General features: G+C 43.9%; 1 long non-coding RNA gene across 4 annotated transcripts, besides 3 other annotated features; it reads right to left on the bottom strand.

Moving 5' to 3' along the window:
• Nucleotides 1-64: 64 nt before the first annotated feature.
• On the bottom strand, nucleotides 65-23,080 carry LINC02576 (long intergenic non-protein coding RNA 2576). Of its 4 annotated transcripts, none has more exons than NR_183397.1 (3): nucleotides 22,995-23,080; nucleotides 22,548-22,861; nucleotides 65-3,322 (listed from the first exon to the last, which is right to left on the bottom strand). It is a non-coding gene; the product is annotated as a long intergenic non-protein coding RNA 2576 (long non-coding RNA). The 4 variants fall into 4 exon arrangements; NR_183398.1 differs by having other exon boundaries at nucleotides 65-1,427; NR_183399.1 differs by lacking the exon at nucleotides 65-3,322 and adding an exon at nucleotides 15,546-16,404.
• Nucleotides 3,166-3,338: a silencer, noted in NCBI's record as "fragment chr2:65277603-65277775 (GRCh37/hg19 assembly coordinates)". NCBI's record gives its function as "represses an EF-1alpha promoter that drives an FKBP-Casp9 reporter gene in an ReSE screen in both phorbol 12-myristate 13-acetate-treated (for megakaryocytic differentiation) and untreated K562 erythroleukemia cells {active_cell/tissue: K562 | K562(+PMA)}" and the evidence as "EXISTENCE:reporter gene assay evidence [ECO:0000049][PMID:32094911]".
• Nucleotides 13,106-13,195: an enhancer, noted in NCBI's record as "active region_15924". NCBI's record gives its function as "activates an Ori minimal core promoter by ATAC-STARR-seq in GM12878 lymphoblastoid cells {active_cell/tissue: GM12878}" and the evidence as "EXISTENCE:reporter gene assay evidence [ECO:0000049][PMID:35858748]".
• Nucleotides 21,867-22,730: an enhancer, noted in NCBI's record as "OCT4-NANOG-H3K4me1 hESC enhancer chr2:65258211-65259074 (GRCh37/hg19 assembly coordinates)". NCBI's record gives its function as "activates a minimal SCP1, AML or CMV promoter by ChIP-STARR-seq in naive H9 embryonic stem cells {active_cell/tissue: H9 hESC(naive)}" and the evidence as "EXISTENCE:reporter gene assay evidence [ECO:0000049][PMID:30033119]".
• Nucleotides 23,081-23,199: the final 119 nt, after the last annotated feature.

Below are 23,199 nucleotides of genomic sequence, written 5' to 3'. Positions count from 1 at the left end.
ATAGCTAAAAACTCCATTTATATATAATACAGCAAGAAGGGAAATACTGTTAGAGGTTACGATCTTCATTTTTGTAACTGGTAATGAAGCTTTATTGTCATTTACAATTTTCCTTCTCCGCTAACCATTCCAGGTCCCTCTTTCCTTCACGCAACCCCTCAGCTGGCCAGGATTCTTTGCCTGGTTGGGTTAAGCAAGCTTTTGTTCTTGAGGAGGTTGCCTGTAGGTAGGTTGTCTGTAGTTTGTCTGTAGGTGGTACAGTACATTGCCATCAACTTGTGCCCTGGCATGAGAGTGATGAGGTGCCTCAGGAGATCTCCTGTGTTCTATTACTGCTCCTCTTGCCTCCGTGGTGTAACAGCAACCCCACTTCCTCCTGAGAGTCAAAATCAGTCACCAAACAACATGTGACCTGTGGCATGAGGAGACCACATCAATTTCAGTTCTCAGTTAATAGGAACCATTGTTGTAGGTTCTGGTGAAAGCATTGTACTAAAATATCTAAACCAGCTGGTTTGAGGAAAAGCAAAGTATAAATTTTGAGAAGAATCATTAGGTATGATTTGAGAAATACCACACCCATTGTTACCAGCAATGATATTCTGCTGTGGAAGAAACTATTGGTCATTGGTTCAGAGTTTTGTCTCCCAGTGGGCACTTGAACTAATTTTTTTTTTTTAATTAAAAATTTTGGTCAGCTGGTGGCTTCTTGCTTGGTGGCCAGGAGCCAGATTTCATTCTGGGCAGGAGCAAGGTGCAGCCAGTGGGAATGCAGGAGAGGCCAGGTGCGTGTTTTGGGACTTTCGGAGCAGCAGCCTGGGAACCAGCAGAGAAGATTCTGTCTTCCAGAGGTTGCCACTGTCTGCCAACTCACTTGTCTCCATCCTCAGTCATCTTTTAAAAGTACATAGCGACACTCTAGCTGTCTGGTTCTTCATGGGGAATGTAATTGAAGTCTGACATCATTCCTATTGCCCTGAAGTCTGAAACTTAGTGTCATTCTCACTGAAAATTGCCTTGGAGTTTGACAAACTCTTTCCCCAGTGATATTGACAGGTTGTTTTGTTTTTGTTTTTGTTTTGTTTTTGAGACAGTGTCTCACTCTGTCACCCAGCTGGGGCTGGAGTGCAGTAGCACGATCTTGGCCCACTGCAACCTCCACCTCCCAGGTTCAAGGGATTCTCCTGCTTCAGCCTCCCAAGTACCTGGGATTAGAGTCACCCACCACCACGCCTGGGTAATTTTTGTATTTTTAGAAGAGATGGTTTCATCATGTTGGTAAGGCTGTTCTTGAACTCCTGACCTCAGTTGATCCACCTGCCTTGGTCTCCCAAATTGCTGGGATTACAGGTGTGAGCCACCACACCTGGTCAGATCCGAGGTATTTTGAACTAAACAGAACAGCAACCAACATCCATATAAAGTAACTACAAGAAAAAAATTAAAAACCATTTTAACTAATGAAAATTCTTTCCACCAACCACAATTCCATCCAACAGCCAAAAAGCAGAGGAAAACTAACAGTATTCTTCATATGAATTAAATATCATTTAGTAAGCAGCTGTAGCTATAAAGAATACCAAAAATCAGACATTAAAAAACTCAAAATAGAAATGGACACAAAGCAGAAAACTATAAAATGAGAACTGATGAAATTCAGGAAAGAAGTAGAAGAAAAAGCCAAAATAATCTTGAGATATGGAAACTAAATTACATTGTGTCCACGGGAAAATAGGTTAGCCTTAAAAGTCAAGAAGGAACATTGAAAATAAATTTAAAACAGCCAAGAGAACCCAAAACAAATTTGGAAAAGAAGGAAAAATATTAGAAAAAAAGTGAGAGATATAGAAGATAGACAGAAGTTAACATATGCATCATTGAAGTCTCCAAAGAAAAGAAACATAACAATGAAAGAAAGCTATAACTGAAGATAGTTTTCTGGATATAAAATAAAACATGAATTTTTGGGACCAAAGGTACCTTGAGAAACACTGAGTCAGTATCATTAGCCTCAGTGAAATGCAAATCAAAACCACAATTATAGCCACTAGGATGGCTATAATAAAAAAGGTAACGTGTTGATGAAGATGTGGAGAAACTGGAACTCTCATACATGGCTGGTAAGAATGTCAAATGGAGGCTGGGCACAGTGGCTCACACCTGTAATTCCAACTCTTTGGGAGGCTAACATGGTAGGATCGCTAGGGCCCAGCAGGTCAAGGTTGCAGTGAGCTGTGATCGTGCCACTGCACTCCAGCTTGAGCAACAGGGTGAGACCTTGTCTCAAAAGAAAGGAAAAAGAAAAAGTATGTCAAATAATACAGCCCCTTTGGAAAGCAGTCTGGAAGTTTCTCAAAAGATTAAGCATAAAGTTACCATATGACCCAGCAGTTCCACTCCTATATATGTATGCAAGGTAAATTAAAACGTATGTTCATACAAAAACTTGTACATGATTGGTTATTGCAGCATTATTCACAAGAGCCAAAAAGTGGAAACAACCCAAATACCCATCAACTGATGAATGGGTAAGTAAAATACAGTATATCCATAATATGGAATGTTAAAATGGCAGTAAAATCAATGCTACAGAATGTAGACGGACATTTTTATACAATGTGGGTGAACCATGAAAACATGCCAAGTGAAAGAAGCCAGTCACAGAAGACCACATAGATGATTCCATTCGTATGACACATCCAGAATAGGCAAATCTATGGAGACGGTGGATTAGCAGTTACCTAGGGCTGCAAGAGTTGAGGGGAATAGGAAGTGACCACTAATGGGTAACAGTTTCTTTTAGGGGTAATGAACTAAATTTGATTGTTCTAAAATTGACTGTGATGATGCTTGCACAACTCTGAATAAACTAAAACCATAGAACTGTGTACTGTAAATGGGTGAACTGTATGGTAGGGAAATTAGATCTCAATAAAGCTGTTTTTTTTAAAAAAAAGATATAGAAGTCAACTTGAAGGACTTTTTTTTTTTTTTCTTTTTTTTTTTTTGAAACAGAGTCTTGCTCTTTCTCCCAGGCTGGAGTGCAGTGGCATGATCTCAGCTGACTGCAACCTCTGCCTCCCAGGTTCAAGTGATTCTCCTGCCTCAGCCTGCTGAGTTATAGGTACTTGCCACCACACCCGGCTAATTTTTTTTTTTTTTTTCCAGTAGAGACAGGGTTTCACCATGTTGGCCAGGCTGGTCTCAAACTCTTGACCTCTGGTGATCCATCTGCCTCAGCCTCCCAAAATGCTGGGATTATAGGCATGAGCTACCACACCTGGCCTTGAAGGACTTTTTCATTGGCCAAATTTGGGACAATCTGCAAATAAAAAATAATGTTAATTACGATTTAATTACATTTTAAGTATAATTGTATTTAAGTATATTTGAGATAATTATATACTTAAATGTATAATTAACTTCAACATAATTAGGTATATAGTTAAGTATATATGCTTAATATATGATTATATTTAAAATATGTTTATATATTAAATATATTAACAAGTATATTAATATATAGTACTATATAATAAATATGTTTAACATAATATATAAATATATAATAAATGTATTAAATGTTAATGTAAAATAAATATTTGTAATCTATAATTATAATTGATTATAATATAATAATTTTTTGAAAATCATGGTCCATAGTCAATCTCAAACAAAACATAAGAAAACAAAGAGAGAAAAAGAAAAGCTCATCTTTACAGAGTGATAACTGTAAGAGGAATGTTAGATTAGACAATTACCCTTTTGGAAACTCAAATGTAATAATTAACCAATTAACCAAGATAAGGATTACTAATGAATGCTAAAACTATTGGGAAAAAAGTTTCTGGGAACAAGGTATTCACACAGACTCCCAAGTATTGCCCCACTGATTATTTACTAATTACAAAAGGGAAATTATGCATTTATAATGGAAAGATCAAACAATTACCACCATAACCAAGTGATCAAACATCACCAATAATGGGACTACCAGACATGTGCCTCCTAAGTAGAATTCTTTCCAAAAATATTTAACCTAACTTCCTGCTTACAGGAAATACAGTAGATACTGGTATAAGATGAACACCATTAGGAAGTAATCATCTCCAGAATATGGGATATTATGTAGCTGCACCAGACCAGTTTGGTTCAACTTTTATGTAACAAAAGTTATGAGTTGTTTTTCAGTTGCTAATGGAGCTTCAGGTCATGTAACCTGAGCAGGCCCAGGTGAACCAAGTGTGTAGCCACAGGGGGGAACCTAAGTGCTCAGAGGAGCAGGGACTGAATTAGGAAGTTGACACTGCATGGCTGGATCTACGATGCAATCAGATTGAGCTCTGGCATCACTCATTAGCAGGATCCAGTGAGATCATGCCTCTTGGCATTACCTCATTGCAAGATCCAGTCAGATCATGCCTCATTACCCTATGCTTATAAAACCTGACACAGCCTGGAGCTCAGGGAGGCATTGCTTTGGGAGCTATCTATACCCAGTGTTCTTTTTACTAGTTGTAAGTAATAAAATCCTCTTGTTAAATCCTCCTTGGTTGTGGCCATTGGTTGTTACTTACCAAGTGACCTAGCCCACCTGTTGTGTGGGCAACAGTTGTACAAAACAATTGGCCTGAACTCTTCAAAAATGTCAACAGTATGGAAAAAAATACCCAGTAATAAATGGTATTGGAAGGAATGGTTCTAGATTAAAAGAGACTAAATAGATAATAACCAAAAACAATACAGGAAACTTGAGTGGATAGTGGAGCAGGAAAAAAAAGAGCTATAAAAGGTATTTGGGGGATAACTGGAGAGAGTTGAATTTGGGCTGATATTAGATGATATTATAGCACAATTGTTAAATTTGAGGGGCGGTGATGGCATTGTGGTTATGTGGAAAAATATTTTTATTCTTAGGAGATACATGCTGCAGTAATTAGAGGTGAAATGTTATAATATCTTTGTATTAGTCTGTTTTCACACTGCTGATAAAGACATACCTGAGACTGGGTAATTTACAAAAGAAAGAAGTTTAATGGACTTACAGTTCCACGTGGCTGGGGAGGCCTCACAATCATGGTGGAAGGTGAAAGGCACGTCTCACATGGCAGCAGACAAGAGGAGAGAACTTGTGCAGGGAAACTCCCCTCTTTAAAACCGTCAGATCTTGTGAGACGTATTCACTACCACAAGAACAGCATGGGAAAAACCTGCCCCCATGATTCAATTACCTCCCACAGGTTCTTCCCACAACTTGTGGGAATTCAAGATGAGATTTCGGTGGGGACACAGCCAAACCATATCAATCTTTAACTTAATTTTGGTTGTTTAACAAACAAAACTGTATATCTGTATTTGTAGCTATCTATCTAAGGGGGAGCACGTGCAAATGTGATAAAATGTTAGTAATTGATGAATCTGTAGTTGGCAGACTCTAAGTTGGCACTCAGTGAATTCTGACCTTCCCTCCTGGAATTCACACCTTGTGTAATCCTTTTCCCTTGAGTAAGGGCTGGGTTTAGAGACTGGCTTCTAGCAAACAGCATGTGGGAGGTTCCTTCCATAATTGAATTCTCTCTCCTTCAATTGCTCAGATGGAGATGGGCTGCCATGTTGTGAGCTGCCCCATGGGGAAGAGGCTCACATGTGAGGAACTGAGGGAGGCCTCCAGAAAACAGCCAGTGAAGAACTGAGACCCTCAGTCCAATAGCCTATGAGGAACTGAATCCTGCTGACAACCATATGAATGAGCTTGGAAGCAGATCCTTCCCCAGTGAAGCCTTCATGTGAGACTGCAGCCCACTTGACACTTTGATTTGTAGCTTGTGACAGACCCCAAGCCAGAAGAGTCAGGTAAGCAGTGCCTGCACTCCTGACCCATGGCAACTGGCATGATAAATGTTTTTTCCCATGAAGCTATGTTTTAGAGTAATTTGTTTTGCAGCAATAGATAACTAATTCACTAGGTAAAGGTTATATCCATTGTAATCTTTCAACTTTTCTGTAGATTTGCAGTTTTATGTGCTGACAGGTGAACACACTGCTGTTGGCACCATGGCCACTGCATACTACGTGCTGTCATGCTAACATTTGATGCTGCAGCAGTAAGTTATTTCTCAATTGATTCTGAGTCTCTGGTTCACTAGCAGGATCATGTGCCCAAGCTCCAGCTTCCAAGGTGTGAGGCCAGAAAGTACCTGACCCTCTCAGCTTCCACAGTGGGAATTGTGGCCCTGTCTCTCAAATAGGGAGGTATTCAGACACTGAGTAGATGAAAAAAAAAAAAGAAAAGAAAAAAAAAGGTGGGGGGGGGCGGTTGGTAAGAAAAGAAAAAGGAAAAGAGGGGGGAGAAAGTGAAAAGAAGAGAAACATCTGCTATACTTTGTTCTACTCCTCTACTCCCAACTGCCCAGAAAGCTCCCCTGCTTAGGAGAGAATCAGATCAGCAGAGTTCCTGATGACCTAGTTTACTTGCCTGGAGACTCATTAGGGTAGCTCAACTACTGACTCTTCCTGTCTCCGTTTTTACCCTCCTGCCAATAACAACCCCCTCTGTCTGTGTCTCTTTAAAGCCCCAAGAGAGATGATCTGATGGTTTGGCTGGTCACTGTTTAATAGAGGGTGTTCTTGTTGGTCTGGATTTTCACTCTAGGCTACGTCAGAAGGTCTGGATTGGCCAATAGCTTGGATGCCCTTGGGGCCAAGCTCCGTCCAATCTGTTTATTTGCCTGCGGGGTGGTAACAAACAGAGAAACTTCCACAAAGGAGCCCCTAAGACCCCTAAGTCATGGACTTGTACAGGCATTTTGAGGCTTTTATAAGGGGGCAGTGTTAGAAACGCTTGTTCCCTGGTGCTGCAAAGAAGTAGCTCTCGAGTTGGAGAGAAGTAAAAGCTCGAACCGGCCTGGGAAGGACCTTACCTAGTGATCCTAACTACTGAAACTGCAGTCTGGACAGCAGAAAAAGGATTGACCCATCACACCCGAGTCAGGAAAGTGCCACCCCCTCCAGAGTCATGGGCCACGGTCCCAGGGGAAAACCCTACCAAACTAAAGCTAAGAAAAATTTAACTCTCTTTCATCCATTTGATTATGACTTCTTTCCTCGCTCTATTGCTGACCACCTAGTTATTAATGTAACCAAGTCAATTTTGCCTCAAACTATTACATTTGATGCTTGCCTTGTTATACCCTATGGAGACTTGCCAAGTCAGAGGCAACTCTCCACTTCAGGAAAGTATCTTTATCCTTCCTAGCGCTCTGCAGACTAAAAATCTGTTAACTGGGATAAATTAGTTTGAGAAGAGTTTGACGAAGATTCCAGTATAAACTGGAAATCTTGTCCTCCTAGAGCAGAGCTTCTCTGCCAAAGTTGGTCCAATGCTCTATAAAATATTAAAGAGCAAGGATCGGCTGCCCCAACTAGTACTTGCAGTTTCTTAAAACCATATATTCATTTTACTAAAGGAGTTACCCCTCCCCATTGTCAGCTAGACCAATGTAACTGAGGACAGATGACCATCCCTGCTCCCCAGAGTTCTTCTATGGCATAGGAGCAGAAGTCTCAGGATCCTTTGAAATGCACTTCATTGCCTTGTCACCTCCTGCACCCCCTTCTCCCTCTCCTAACTTCTCTGCTAACCAAACCTCTTGTTATCTACCCAATGATGAAACCAAAGTAGTTGTAGAGGTTAAAGATTTAAAACAAACTGTAGCAACTGAAACAGAGTATCAGGACGCAAATGCTTGGCTGGAATGGATTAAATATTCTGTTCGCACGCTTAACAAAAGCGACTGTTAACTCTTATGCGACAGGCAGGCCAGAGACCCAGCTTGTCCGCTTTCCAGTTGGGTGGTCCTCTCATGGACTGGGCATGAGCTGTATGGTAGCTCTCTTCCACAACCCCACAGCCTGGGGCGATGAGTCATGCAAGACTCTTTCTCTGCGGTTCACTGAGGTTAAGAGCCCTGTGGGTCAGCCCCCGAGGGCCATGCTGCCACCAGCCCCTGATGTTAACTTCACCTCGTGCCTTTCTCTGCGGGGGGTGGGGGGGGAGTTAGCATTCCTTGAAGACTTAACAGGGTGCAGTGAAACCAAGCCTTTTCAAGAGCTTACCAATCAGTCTGCCCTTGTTCATCTCCAAGCAGATGTGTGGTGGTATTGCAAGGAACTATTGCTGGGTACTCTGCTCTGCCAAGTAATTAGAGCAGCACTTGTGCCCTAGTCCAACTGGCCATCCCTTTTACCCTAGCATTCCGTCAACACGAAGAAAAAAAAAAAGAGAAAAGCGTAAAAAAAAGAAGTGCCTCACATGGGTCCTTTGACTCCCATGTTTATATAAATGCTATTAGACCTCCACGAGGAGTACCAGATGAATTTAAAGCCCGAGATCAAATAGCTGCAGAATTTAAGTCAATATTTTGATGGGTGACAATTAATAAGAACATAGATTAGGTAAATTACATTTATTACAACCAACAGCGGTTTATTAACTACATTAGAGATGCTGTTAAAGGAATAGGTGAGCGATTAGGGGCTACTAGCCAGATGGCTTGGGAAAATAGAAGAGCCTTAGACACGGTATTAGCAGAAAGAGGAGTTTGCGTCATGATTAAAACTCAAGGTTGTACCTTCATCCCAAACACCACCGCCCCTGATGGACGTATAACAAAGGCATTGCAAGGTCTAACCGCTCTGTCTAGTGAGTTAGCCAAAAACCCAGGGGTAAATGATCCCTTTACAAGGTGGCTAGAAAAATGGTTTGGTAAATGGAAAGGAATCATAGCCTCGATTCTTACTTCTCTCGCAGCCGTAGTAGGTGTACTCATTCTTGTTGGGTGTTGTGTCATACCATGCATCTGTGGGCTGGTGTACAAACTCATACAGGCAGCACTTACTAAAACCTCCCTTAATTCTCCTCCACCTTATTCAGAGAAGCTTTTTCTTTTAGAGAATCAAACAGAACAGCTAAGCCAAGACATGTTAAGGAAGTTTGAAGAGAAAGAACTATAAAAATTCAAGAAGGGGGATTGTTAAATATAGTAGACCCCAAGTTTCTCTTCAAAGAATCAGTATGTCAGTATGTTCAGTTCTCTTATTCTTTGATTCTCCATTTTAAAGTTTAACTTCCTGGTTCTCTTCACCCCTTTGCTTCTAGTTTCAGTAAACAACTTTCTCGCGAGTCCTAATCAGTAGTTCACATCTGTTCCCCTGGTCACCTGCTCCATCCTGACTCATCCTGGTCACCTGCTGTGACCTAAGTCACCTTTAGTTACCTGTTCCTAACCGTCCTTCCTGCCACACTACTCACCCTGCCACTCTGGCTCATACCTTTGCTCTCTTTAAAATAGCCAGTTGGAATTAGCTTAGACTGTGCGGTCCAACCCTAGCCAATAGGGAAACAACACAGCAGTAGGGGCTACCTGCCTCAGGAATAAGAACTCCTTGCCCTTCCCTGTCCAGGTGTGCTGTTGCCATTACTCCATTCGCGAGTTACACTCTTCTATAGAAGTAAAAATTGCCTTGCTGAGAAAATTAAATTTATGTTTGAGTGCTGTTTCTTCGTGGCACTGGGGAACAAGCATTTCTAACAGCAGTGTAGAGGAAAGAACTTGGCTGGGACCTTACCCTCCTGCCTCACTGATGGAATGAGACATCTGCAGAGGAAGCTGATTTGGGGTAAAGACAATGAGTTGATTTGGGGCATGAAAGTGAAAGTAAGATTCCCAGATGGTGCTGCCTTTTGTCTTTTTTTAATTTTTATTTTTTGAGACGGAGTCTTGCTCTGTCACCGAGGCTGGAGAGCAGTGGCATGTTCTCGGTTCACTGCAATCTCCACCTACAGGGTTTAAGTGATTCTCCTGCCTCAGCCTCCCGAGTAGCTGAGACTACAGGTGAGCACCACTACACCCAGCTAATTTTTTGTATTTTTAGTAGAGGCTGGGTTTCACCGTGTTAGCCAGGATGGTCTCAATCTCCTGACCTCGTGATCTGCCAGCCTCGGCCTCCCAAAGTGCTGGGATTACAGGCATGAGCACCGCGCCCGGCCCTGCCTTTTCTCTTGTTGGAGACATGGAGCTCAAGTTAGGAAGTCAGGGATGGAGATGAAGATGGGATGGTCGATCATATAGATGTAATGCTTAAAGCTACAGACAGGGAAGAGATTTCCATAGGCATGGAAGTGTAAAGCTGGAAAAGCCAAGGGCAGTTGCTGTAACACTATTCCTTCAGCCGTTTTCACCAGAACTTTGGAAACTTGCATCTGGAATGAGTAGGTGAAGTGAATTAGATTTTCCAACTGTATGGTGCAGGCTGCATCAACATCTATGTGCAACCCACAGACTTCATGTCCAACATTCACATCTTATGACATTGTCTCATTGTTAAGCATCTTGAGGTAGGATAACTTTTTGAGCTACAAATGTGGAATTTCCTCTTGTATTTCCCCACTTTTCCTCCTCAGGCAGGCTTCGTTTTACTTTCCTCAGGAGCTGGCAGGCTGAAGGCAGAAATTGCCTGCAAAACACTTCTTTTCCTGGCTTTGTTTTCAAAAGCCTAAGTCCCCTGATGTGTCTGAGTGTACAGTGTACTGGAGGGAGAGGAGACAGGAAGCAGCTCTGACGGAAACCCTAGCAGGCAGTGGTGGATTTCCCCCAGGGTAAAAGATTGCTCCAAGCCAGGGGAGGGGTCCAGGGTCCTGCAATAGCTGGGACCTGTGCTCTGCCCTCTGACAACACCCCAGGGGAGTGGTCAGATCTCAGAGAGGAACAGTTACAGGGCTCCCAGCCTCACCAAATATCCATATGTCCCAAGGGTGGCGTGAAAGCTAGTGGGCTGTTAGAACTGAGGGAACCAGATAAATTGGGCCCTGGTGGCCTTGACAGTGACCAGTAATGATCTATAACTGCAGGGTCTTCCTAGGACCTTGAAGGATGGCCTGAAGTAGAAAATCCTGTTGGGTTTGGAGTAGAAATTAAGTTGGTTTAAATTTATTATTATTATTATTTGTTTTTCTTTTTTCCTTTTTTTTGAGGCAGAGTCTCGGTCTGTTGCCCAGGCTGGAGTGCAGTGGTGCGATCTCTGCTCACTGCAGCCTCTGCCGCCTGGGTTCAAGCAATTCTCCTGCATCAGCCTTCTGAGTAGCTGGGATTACAGGTGCGCGCCACCACGCCTGGCTAATTTTTGTGTTTTTAGTAGAGACGGGGTTTCACCATGTTGGCCAGGCTGGTCTCAAACTCCTGACCTTGTGATCCATCCGCCTCGGCCTCCCAAAGTGCTGGGATTACAGGCATGAGCCACCACTCCCGGCCTTATTATTTGTTTTGTTTAGAGAGGGGGTCTTGCTCTGTCCCAGGCTGGAGTGCAGTGGCATGATGATAGCTCACTGCAGCTTCAAACTCCTGGGCTCAAGCGATCCTTCTGCCTTAGCTTAGGACTACAGGTGTATGCCACCATGCCTGGCTATTATAATTTAATTTAATTTAATTTTTTTTTTTTTTTAGACATGGGGTCTTACTATGTTGCCCAGGTTGATCTTAGACTTCTGGCCTCAAGCAGTCCTCCCTCCTTGGCCTCCCACAGGCCTGGGATTACAGATGGGAGCTACCATTCCCAGCCTCGTAATGGAAATTTAAAAATTTTATAAGGAATAGCTATACTACATCAATAATACTGCCTGACCATCTTTGTACATATAACTTTTTTATATACAGGAATTTTTTTTTTAAAGATAGATTCACAGAAGTAGAACTACTGATTGAAAGGGTATAGACATTTTTAAGCATCTTGATACATGTGGCTTAAATGCCACATGTATGGCCTAAACTGATTGAGTCTTTTCAGGTTTGGATTTTAAAACTAGAACCCTCTCTTCAGTGGAGTGGGATGGGGGAAACACTGGAAACCTCATGGGAAGCAGTTGCAATATTTCATATGAAATGCGAGGAAGGGCCAGACTGAGATTATGGCCATGGGGAGAGAGAAAGGGATAAAATCCCCTATCATTCAGGAGGTGCTATCAATAACCCATCTCTGCATATGGGTGAAGAAGTGAAGGGGAGGCAACAATCAAGATCCCCTTACTAATTTCCAGTTGAAAATCGAGTAGATGAAAATCCTATCAACTAAGAGGCAATGTGGCTTGGTGGTAAATGCCTGTGTTTTGGATCTAACTGACCAAGTTCAAATTCCAACTGTCCCAACTAATTAGCTGCATGGCCTTGGGCAGGTTGTTAAAACTCTCTGAGCGCATATGCCTAGATTTCCTTATTTGTGAAATGAGGATAGTAGCGTTTATGCCTACCAAAGAACTGTAAGGATTAAATGTGAATTTTTTTTTTTTTTTGAGACAGAGTCTCGCTCTGTCGCCCAGGCTGCAGTGCAGTAGCATGATCTCGGCTCACTGCAGCCTCCACCTCCCGGATTCAAGCAATTCCCCTGCCTCAGCCTCCCAAATAGCTGGCACTACAGGAAAGCACTACCACGCCCAGATGATTTCTGAATTTTTAGTAGAGACGGGGTTTCACCATGTTGGCCATGCTGGTCTTGAACTCCTGGCCTCAAGCGATCCTCCCCCCTTGGCCTCCCACAGTGCCCGGCCATAAGTGTGAAAATGTCTTTAACCGCCTGGCCCATTGGGACTTTGAAGAAATTAATGAAAACAGATAATACTAATAGAAGAGGATGTACAGAGGGTTAAAGAATATATTTGGTTTGAGATCCATTTGTTTAAGATGCATGAAATCTCACGAAATGGACTTTATCTTGGTATGCTTTTATTTTTTTAATTTTAACTTTGAAATAATTTTTCCTTTATACTTCTTTCTGTACACTGCTGCTTTCATTTTTTTTTAAGAGACCTAAAGGTATGATAGGGACAAGGAAAGAGAGGGTGGTGATCCTGTTGCCCTTGTGGGTAAGGACTGCGGAGGCAGTGGTGCAGTTCTCAAGCATGACCACAAGGTGGAGTCCGTAGTAAGTGGAAATGGTTTACCCTGCGTGGGAGGAGACTGGGCAGGATCCTGGAGCAGATTCGGTGGCAGCCGCAGAGCCCTCGGTCCAGTTCTGCAGGCGAGTCCCATCTAGCCTCTTCTGCCTTTTGGTGACTGACTTTTCACGATGTAAAGTTAATCACAGTTACACATAACAGCCACCACACACTCCCAGGACCCCAAAGAAACCATGAAGAAAATAATCACAAGCATAACAGTTCACCTTTTGGTGGTTCTCCATTGCCAGTTGCATGAGCTCCCAACTCCTTGACTTTCAGTTCTGGGACTTCCAGTCTATGAGACCCCACTTACCTTTCTGGAATCTTCTCCTAATACTTTTCTACCTGGCCCATAGGCTCCAGTCAACTGCCTACTCACGGATCCCCAAAAATGCCCCTCATTTTCACCTTGCCTTTTGCTTGTTCTGTTCCCTGTTTCTGGAAAGTGATTTCTCCATTTCTGCTTATTGAAACCTCAGTAATACTCGAAGAACTCGTTACATCTGTGAGGGCTCTTTATGTTTCAAGTAACACCCGGACAATAAAGGGAATCTAATGGCTCCTATACTGAGAAATATCGAGGTATCTAGTTAGCTTCAGGTGACGTCTGTTCAGCAGCTTGGACAGCACCACAGGTGACTTGGTTTTACTCCATTTTTGTCTTCTGCCTTTTGCTGTGTCGGCTTGCGTTCAGAACCCCTAGTGGCTCTTTCAGTCCTCCCCTAGCAGGTAGGTGTGCTCCGTATCTTCCTTCTGCTTCTTAACGTCTCTATTCTTCTCCTCCCTGCTCAGTGCCCTTGGAGGATGACCTGGCTTAGATTTGCGGGCTTCCTTGCCTTCTGTCTTCCACTTGGGTTTGGCCAGTGAGGAGCACCAGCATGGGCTCCACGGATGGCTGGGCTATTAATTAAATCTCTGTCTTCCATGGTGCACAGCACAGGCTGCCTTCATCCCTCATCTATGAGGTGACAGTCTCCATATCTCTATCTCTGCATTCCAGCAACCACCCTCTGTAGGCCTAGGGTGGTAATGGCCCCAAGATATTTCATTATTCCTTAAGTTTTCCCTACACATGCTCACACTTTTGCAAACTGTCCATGTTTTTTTTTTTTTTTAAATAGAGATAGGGTCTCACTCTGTCACCCAGGCTGGAGATCATAGTTCACTGTGGCCTCGAACTCCTGGGTTCAAGAGATCCTCCCGCCTCAGCCTCCTAAGTAGCTGGGATTACAGGTGTGCACCGCCAACAGTCCACTTACTAACTGCTCCTCAAATTGTCCAGTTTGAGTGTGCCATCTGCTTCCTGCTGGGACCTTGACTGATATAGCAATCCCGAATCACACATCTTCATACTACACTGCTCAGTGGTAGAAAGGCGGGAGAAAGAGGTTCTCTTTTGGCCATTTTAACAGGAAAGAGAGTATGCTTCTTGCCCGGCAAACAACTTTTAAATTCTTTTTTATTTTATTTTATTTTTTTGAGACGGAGCCTCGCCCTGTCATCCAGGCTGGAGTGCAGTGGTGTGATCTCAGCTCTCTGCAACCTCCCCCTCCGGGTTCAAGCCATTTTCCGGCCTCAGTCTCCTGAGTAGCTGGGATTACAGGTGCACGCCACCACGCCCAGCTGATTTTTTCTATTATTAGTAGAGATGGGATTTCACCATGTTGGCCAGGCTGGTTTTGAACTCCTGACCTCAAGTGATCTGCCCGTCTCAGCCTCTCGAAGTGCTGGGATTACAGGCGTGAGCCACTGTGCCTGGCCCCAGCAAACATCTTGATTATTTTTGGCCTCAGTTGTAATCTGCCTAAACTAATAAGAGACTTTCTTGGTGCCAAGGGTGGGTCATTTCAAGCCAAACCCCATGACTGAAATAGGCAAAGGGTGGTTCCCCCAGAACAGAATCAAGATGCAGCAGTGCTAACTGGAAGAAGGAGAAAATTCAGCACCTTCTTCCCAAATGCCATCTCTTTCTTTGAAGCTTGTCCTTATTCCCCCAAGAGGATACAACATGATGGCCAACAAGATGGTGTAGTTCCCAAGATGGAGATTATAGTGTAGTTGGGGAAACAATTATTTAATTTAACTTTTTCTTTTTTAGGGTCTCACTCTGACACCCAAGCTGGAGTTCAGTGGCACCATCTCAGCTCACTTTAGCCTCGACCTCCCAGGCTCAAGTGATCCTCCCGCCTTAGCCTCCCGAGTAACTGGGACTACAGGTCTGCACCACCACACTTGGCTAATTTGTAATTTTTTTTATAGAGACAGGATCTCACTATGTTGCCCAGGCTGGTCTCAAACTCCTGGACACAAGTAATCCTCCTGCCTCAGCCTCCCAAAGTACTGGGATTACAGGCATGAGCCACTGCACCCACCATGGGGAGACACTTAAATACACAAAGAATAATGATCTATTACATTAAGTACTGGGAAGGAAACAAATGAGGTGCTGAGGGAAGAAAAACATGGATGACCTATTAAAGATCATGTGACCAGGGAAGGCTCCCCTGAGGAGGTGACATTTAAGCTGAGGCTGGAAAGATGAGAAAGAGACAACAAGTGATGGGAAAGGACAGGAATTCCAGGCATTCTTTTTATTTGTTTGTTTGTTTGTTTGAGACAGAATCTTGCTGTGTCGCCCAGGCTGGAGTGCAGTGGCACAATCTTGGCTCACTGCAACCTCCACCTCCAGGTTCAAGCAATTCTCCTACCTCGGCCTCCAGAGTGGCTGGGATTACAGGCACGCACCACTATGCCCAACTAATTTTTGTATTTTCGGTAGAGACGGGGGTTCCCCATGTTGGTCAGGCTGGTCTCGAACTCCTGACCTCAAGTGATCCACCCACCTTGGCCTCACAAAGTGCTGGAATTACAGGAATGGGCCACCATGCCCAGCTGAATTCCAGGCATTCTGAGGTGCACTGGCTAGAGAATGAATAGATACCAAATGTGGAGGCACTTAGGTGAGGCCACTGTGGCTGAAGTGAGGTGGGCAAAGGGTAGAGCCATCTGGGTGAGGCAGGAGAGGCAGGCGGGGCTTCCTGGACCAGTGTTTGGATTCCAGCTGGGTGCAGAGAAGAGACCCTGAAGGATATTCAGCAGGGGTGAAAATCTGATTTCTGTTTTAAGATCACCCTGGAAATAGAGGCACTCATTTGGAAGATGCTGTGTTGTCTAGGTGACAGATGGCAGAGACGTAGAGAGGGTGCCAGCTGTGGAGATGGAGAAAACCAAACAAATCGAGCTGTATTTTACAGGTAGAATCAGCATGATGATTAGCAGCTGGAACGGGGTGGTTGGGAGGTAAAGAAGAGTGTAGAGTAACTCCTCAGTTGCTGGTTTGATTATTGAGTTGTGGTGATGGGGGAGGGATGGCAATCAGGAGGTCAGCGGCCAGAGGCCACCCAGCATCTCTGGGTCTAAAAGGCAAATTCCAACAGAAGTTTAATTGGCTTCCTTTGAGTCAGACGCTTACCTGGTTCATTAGCTAGGCTGAGGTTGGGGGAGCACACAGGGATGGGTATGCTAGGTAGGGCCTGCCTAAACTTGCTAGCAGCCTACAAGAATGGAGAAAAGAAGCATGTGAATAACTAGAATCCAGAGAATTTTAAGGCCTGGGGCAGATGCCTTCTGGGGTGCCATCCCAGCCCCCCAGTCATTTCCCTTTCTCTAGAACCTGTTCCACCCACCCCAGGGTAGGGACCAGCCGCAGTAGATGGCAGGCAGAAAGAGATTCTGCTATAAAACACCATACACATAAAAGAAAGAACAGCAACAAATGGACAAAGATGGAGTATGGTTTTGTGCCCAAAGAATTTACAACCCCAAAATGAGTTTCGTGATATGCCTGCTTTGATTTCTCATTTATTCCAAGTTATCATTTATATTGTTAATCTATACAGTTTTCTCCCCCCACGTATTAGACAGCTTTTAAAAATGGTTTTCAAGGCTGGGTACTGTGGCTCTTGCCTATAATCCCAGCATTTTGAGAGGCTGAGGCAGGTGGATCATTCGAGGTTAGGAGTTCGAGACCAGCCTGGCCAACATGGTGAAACCCCACCTCTACTAAAAATACAAAAATTAGCCAGGCGTGATGGCATGTGCCTGTAATCCCAGCTACTCGGGAGGCTGAAGCAGGAGAATCGCTTGAACCCAGGAGGTTAGAGTGAGCAGAGATTGCACCACTGCACTCCAGCCTGGGTGACAGAGAGAGACTGTCTCAAAAAAAAAAAAATGGTTTTCAAGTTACTTCGTGTGTATTTAAGTTTTTTGCCTACTTGATAAGCCCTCTGTTGGAAACTTCTCTGCAACCCTTGTTTATGAACCAGACAGGGCTGTGAGTATTCTGGTATACTGATGTCTACTCATTTACTGGTGTAAATTATTTCTCTGCCTCTATGCTAACTAGAGATATAGATATATATATATATGAATAATGAATATATAAAATTTATCAGTTTTCTCCCTCTATCTTAAAAGATTATTCACTGGGCTGGGCACGGTGGCTCATGCTGGTAATCCCAGCACTTTGGGTGGCTGAGGCGGGCAGATCACTTAAAGTCAGGAGTTTGAGACCAGCCCGGCCAACATGGTGAAACCTCGTCTCCACTAAAAATACAAAAAATTAGCTGCGTGTGATGGTGAGCGCCTATAATCCCAGCTACTCGGGAGGCTGAGGCAGGAGAATCACTTGAACCCGGGAGGCAGAGGTTGCAGTGAGCCAAGATCGCGCCATTGCATTCCAGACTGGGGGACAAGAGCGAGACTTTGTCTCAAAAAGAAAAAAAAAAGAAGATAGTCTGGATGTAAGTAATTATTCAGGCAATTTAAAATGACCCCTTGAAATTAAATGCCACTTGTTTTGATTAGACTTTTTTCTAAAATGTCTGACATCATTCTGTGCCATAGGAAATTGAGTTAGTAACATCTTAACTTTTTCTGTTCTTTTAATTTTCCGACTCAGTCATTGTTATGAAACCCCAGGCACTGTCGTGGCTGTACTCCAGCCTTGGGGGCTATTTGATTTTCTGGTGTTATTAGTGCTAATTCGAGAGCTCAGAGGCTTTTATTCTTTTCTAGCTGGCGATCATTCTGTTTCCTTCCATCTTGCTGCGGTCAGCATGTCTGCTTCCTCCCTTCCCATGGAATTATGATCTGTTCTCAGCTCTCCCTGTACCCCTCTCACAGCCTAACAGGGTGCCCTGTACAAGTAGGCACTCAATAACCATTTCTTCCATTGGATTAAACCCAGGAAGACTGGAAGTTTGCCAGAGGAAACAAAATAATTAAGCTTGTTAACTCATTAACTTTAATTTTAGACACATCCCTTAAGCTCCTGAGTATAGTATGGGAAATCATACCTGAGTTCCAAATGGTTGAGGTTGTCAGGGATCTTGGCTGCTGAATTAAGCGGGGTGTATGGCTCTATTATACATGAAAATATGTCTTTGCAGGCACACATAATTGCTGCTAATTTGTACCACAGGAAGAATAAAAGTAGCAAATTGATAAAGAAGACCTATTTCTACTTCTATAATGAAGGCTACTTACCCCCCATACATGTACAACTATTATATATCAATTTAAAAGACAATAGCCCTTGATTACCTTAAGTACAACCCCTACCTTCACTGTAGTATACCAGGATATAAAAGTATTGTCAAGGCCAGGCACAGTGGCTCACGCCTGTAATCCTAGCACTTTGGGAGGCTGAGGTGAGGGGTGTGAGTGGATCACCTGAGGTCAGGAGTTTGAGAGCAGCCTGGCCAACAATGGCAAACCCCGTCTCTACTAAAAATACAAAAAATAGCCAGGCATGGTGGTGCATGCCTGTAAACCCAGCTACTTGGGAGGCTGAGGCAGGAGAATTGCTTGAATCTGGGAGGCAGAGATTGCAGTGAGCCGAGATTATGCCACTGCACTCCAGCCTGGGTGACAGAGCGAGACTCCATCTCAAAAAAAAAAAAAGAAAAAAAAGGATTGTTTATGAAATTCAAAGCTATTTGCTGAAATACAAGCACATTTTTATAAACGAAGGTGACATATTTAAAACACAGAAACAGGTAAATTGGGTGGAAGCAAAATTGACCCATAATTTTATTGGTCTTTCCTACTGACACATTTTAACTATGTTACAAAAACTACTGAAGTTGAACTGTGAGATACATCTTAAGTGCATCCTTAGTGGGCAGTTAATTATTTCTCACTAAATAGAGTTTTGCTCAGGCATAAAACCTTGGAGTCATCCTAGGTTCCTCTGGGCCTCATCTCACATCCTATCTGTCTGTAAATCCTGTTAGCTCTGCCTTCAAAATCTATCCAGAATCCAGCCATCTCAATACTTCCACTGCTACACCCCGATCCAAGTCACCACTCTCTTTTTATTAGCCTCTTAGCTGATCTCGTGCTTCCATCACTGTCTGTTCTGTATCCAGTAGCTGGAGCAACTGTTTATAAGTAGACGGTCTCATCACATCTCTTCCTGCTCAGTATCTTCCAGTGGCTCTTGTGATACACAAGTCCTCATCATGCCCTCTGGCTCTTCCTACCTCTCAGGACTTATTCCTGCATGCTCCCCTCAGCCACTCTACCCGTCACATAAGCCTTCTTTCTGCTCTTTAAACACACAAGAAATATTTCTTGGCCGGGTGTGGTGGCTCACGCCTGTAATCCTAGCATTTTGGGAGGCTGAGGCAGGTGGATCACCTGAGGTCAGGAGTTCGAGACCAGCCTGGCCAACGTGGTGAAACCCTGTCTCTATTAAAAATACAAAAATTAGCTGGGCCTGGTGGCTGGTGCCCGTAATCCCAGTTACTCAGGAGGCTGAGGCAGGAGAATTGCTTGAATCCAAGAGGCAGAGGTTGCAGTGAGCCAAGATCGCACCATTGCACTCCAGCCTGGGCAACGAGAGTGAAACTCTGTCTCAAAAAATAAATAAATAAATAAATAAATAAATAAATAAATAAATAAATAAATATTTCTTGTATGAATGGAATACAATGGTTGCTAAGTGAATGAATGAATTTTATGATAATTATAATCAATTACAGTTAGTACCAGCTATATGCTAGCCCTGCCCAGAGAGATGCTCTTTTACCAACTGGTGTGAACCCGTGGTTCTCAGACTTTACCTGGTATCAGAATCATCTGCAGGGCTTGTTAAAACTCAGATGGCTGGGCCTTACCCCAGAAAAATTTACATTTCTAACAGGTTTCTAGGTGATGCTGGTCAGGCATACACTTTGGCTTAATGATTCTAGGCCAACTGGCCATTCTGAGGAGAAATTTGACAGATTTTGGCCTGGTATTCCTTTCTGCCTCTCTGGGTGAAAAGATTAATTGCAGATGGGTTTGGGGAAAAAAACTCTGAACTTTATTTTTTGATACTTAGCCACAGGGTGGCCCCCTAGCTCCAATAATTACTCCATAGCCCCCACTCCCACCGCATTAAAACACCTTTTGTTATTTGGAGAACTTCCAAGCCATTTCTCTCTCTCTCTCTTTTTTTTTTTTTTTTTTTTGCTTGTTTGTTTGTTTGAGACAGAGTCTCACTCTGTTGCTCAGGCTGGAGTGCAGTGGTGCGATCTCAGCCTCACTGCAACCTCCTCCTCCTAGGTTCAAGCGATTCTCGTGCCTCAGCCTCCCAAGTAGCTGGGATTACAGGCGTGCACCACCATGCCTGGGTAATTTTTTTTTTTTTTTTTTTTTTTTTTGGTATTTTTAGTAGAGACGGGGTTTGCCATGTTGGCCAGGCTGGTTTTGAACTCCTGACCTCAAGCGATCTGCCCCCCTCAGCCTCCCAAAGTGTTGGGATTACAGACGTGAGCCACTGTGCCCGGCCTCTCTCTCTCTCTCTCTCCCCACTCCCCCCACCCCCACCCCCACCCCCCATCCCCCCAACCTTTCTGTCTTTAAATGTAGCTCTAAGGCCACTAGTTTGTTATTCACAACAGGCCGGCCCTTTCATGCATGGGATATGGTGGTGGTTTCCTCAGTAATGTAGGACTCTGGCTCTGTTAGAAGCGACTGTTGTCTTAGACAGAAATGGCACAGGAAAGTAGGTTTGTAAGTCAGAGATCACATGATATCAGAAAATGAAAGGAGATTTCATTTTAGCCCCCAGGAGGGACCCACACACAGGACAAACATCCACTCTTTTGTAGCCCATGCCGCTCTGCACAGGAGGGTCACCCCCTAAGCCTCACCCAGAAGCTCCTCCAAACCTCTTGTCACTGTAGTGGAGAGGAGAGGACCTTTCCTCCCGCTTCCAGCTGCCCTTCATCTCACTCCCAGACAGATAAGAGGGCTGAGGACTGGTAGGAGTGAATGACAAGGACAGAGGGCTGAGGGCTGTGGATGCCACCTTCCTGGGCTGTCACCCCTGGCCTGGTGTTGGTATCTGAAAAGGGGGGAGCGGGCTGGCAGTGACAGACAAAGTGGTGAGTGCAGGGGAATAGGCCCAATCTGCGACCCACGGTCCTCCCTCTCCTCCCCTCTACACCTGTCCTCCTGCTTCTCTTTCTCTGTAGAGTGAAACCCAATTCCAAACGTTAACAGAGTCTGGAAAAGGCATCCAAGTAAAAAAGTGCAAAAGTTGAAAATAGCCTTCCACGTTATAAGGGAGGTTCCACTCCCAGAAAGATAATGACGACTATAAAATTCCAAATGGCACTCTGCCCACTAGCCACATTCTTCAATAACACGGTCTTAGCAGTTTCACGTGTTATTTACAGGTGAAGAGGCAGTAGATCTTTTTTCCCACTGAGGTCTCATTGAGGATATAGATAGGCTGCTTCGGATACTACTGGTAATTTTAATTGTTTCAGTTTCATAAAATGTATGAGACTACACTTCTTATCACAAATATCGTTACTTCACTTCTTTCACTTAGAGAGAGAGGAAGAGGGGTGGAATAAAAGAACAAAGGCAGTGCAATAAAATACTCAAAATAGCTGTAAGACAAATATTGCTCAACAAAGTTGGTGGCAGCACAGAAACAGACCCACTGGCTGGTAGGCAGCAGCACTATGAGAGGGTTTGATGTATTCGCTCATTCACAAAGCCTGCCTTTGTCATGTAATAGGCACTTAGGGGAATCCAGAGCTTGTCTGGAATAGGGGGATGCGTCCTGCAAACAGAAGCAGTTCCAGACCCTGCAGGTTGGCTAGCCAAAGCCCAGCTAACTCCCATCAGGTGTACCTTCCTGAGCTGCACAGACGGAAAACCACAAACTGCTTTTTCAGACTTCCTTGCAGGTCTGCCAAGCAGAGCACCTGTGTGAAACTCAGAAGCTGCAGCTGGGAAGGTGGGCATGGGCCGTATGGGGTAGAGCTTGCTGGGAGATCTGATTGGGGTAGCTCTGAGGGAGGCTCCACTGCCCGGTTCCTAATGTCACAGGTGTGGGCAAGCACCTGCTGCGGAAACTCAGCACTCTTAACTACATTGTTCCTGGCTATTAGCCACCCACCTGTTTCCCTATCCGTCCCAGAAATTCTGTACATTCTTTAATTCTTCCCTGTAATCAGTGCTTTTCTGCTTTGTTGTCTGTACTTGGAACACTTACCAAGAAATTAACCAAATCAGAGATACTCAGCATGGGCTTGAGGAAGATGTGTTTTGACATCATTTTCTCCAAATCTCTCGAAGTTTGTGACAAGTCTTTTTCTGCTACACTTTCTTCTAGTTCCTGTTCACAGTTTTGACCTCTTCCTCCATTTTCTCTGATGTTTAGCTGATTTTTACCGTCTGTTCCATCATCCAGTTCTCCAAGGTGTTCATTTTGACATCCAGCCTGACACTTCCTTCGCACTTTTGTGGCACCTCTAGCACTGCCACTTGCTTGGTTTTTGACAGCTGGTACCATCAACAAACAAATGCCTTGGGGAAGAAAACATGTCAATTCGCATGGCTTGAAATGCAGGAACAAAACAGAAGTGCACACCGACCCGGAGCTTACAGTACAGCGTGCCATGAGAGCTTGCATTGGCCAAAAGCATGCAAGAATACTCACTGTAGCTGATGCATGTTGTAAAAGTCTGCATGAACTCTGTTCTTCAGTGCTGCAATTTCTGATGTGAACAGCACCATCAGCTTTACACAGAACAATACTCAGTGTGGCATATGTACTTTTATTATGCAAAAGAGCGGATGGCAGGACGTTTGAATATAGGGAAGTTGAAAGTCACCTGGAAATGCTTCATGCAAATAGCACTAAC

The sequence above is a fragment of the Homo sapiens genome, chromosome 2 (genome assembly GCF_000001405.40).
Source record: "Homo sapiens chromosome 2, GRCh38.p14 Primary Assembly".
Taxonomy (NCBI): domain Eukaryota; kingdom Metazoa; phylum Chordata; class Mammalia; order Primates; family Hominidae; genus Homo; species Homo sapiens.
This window is presented reverse-complemented; position numbering and strand designations above follow the sequence as displayed.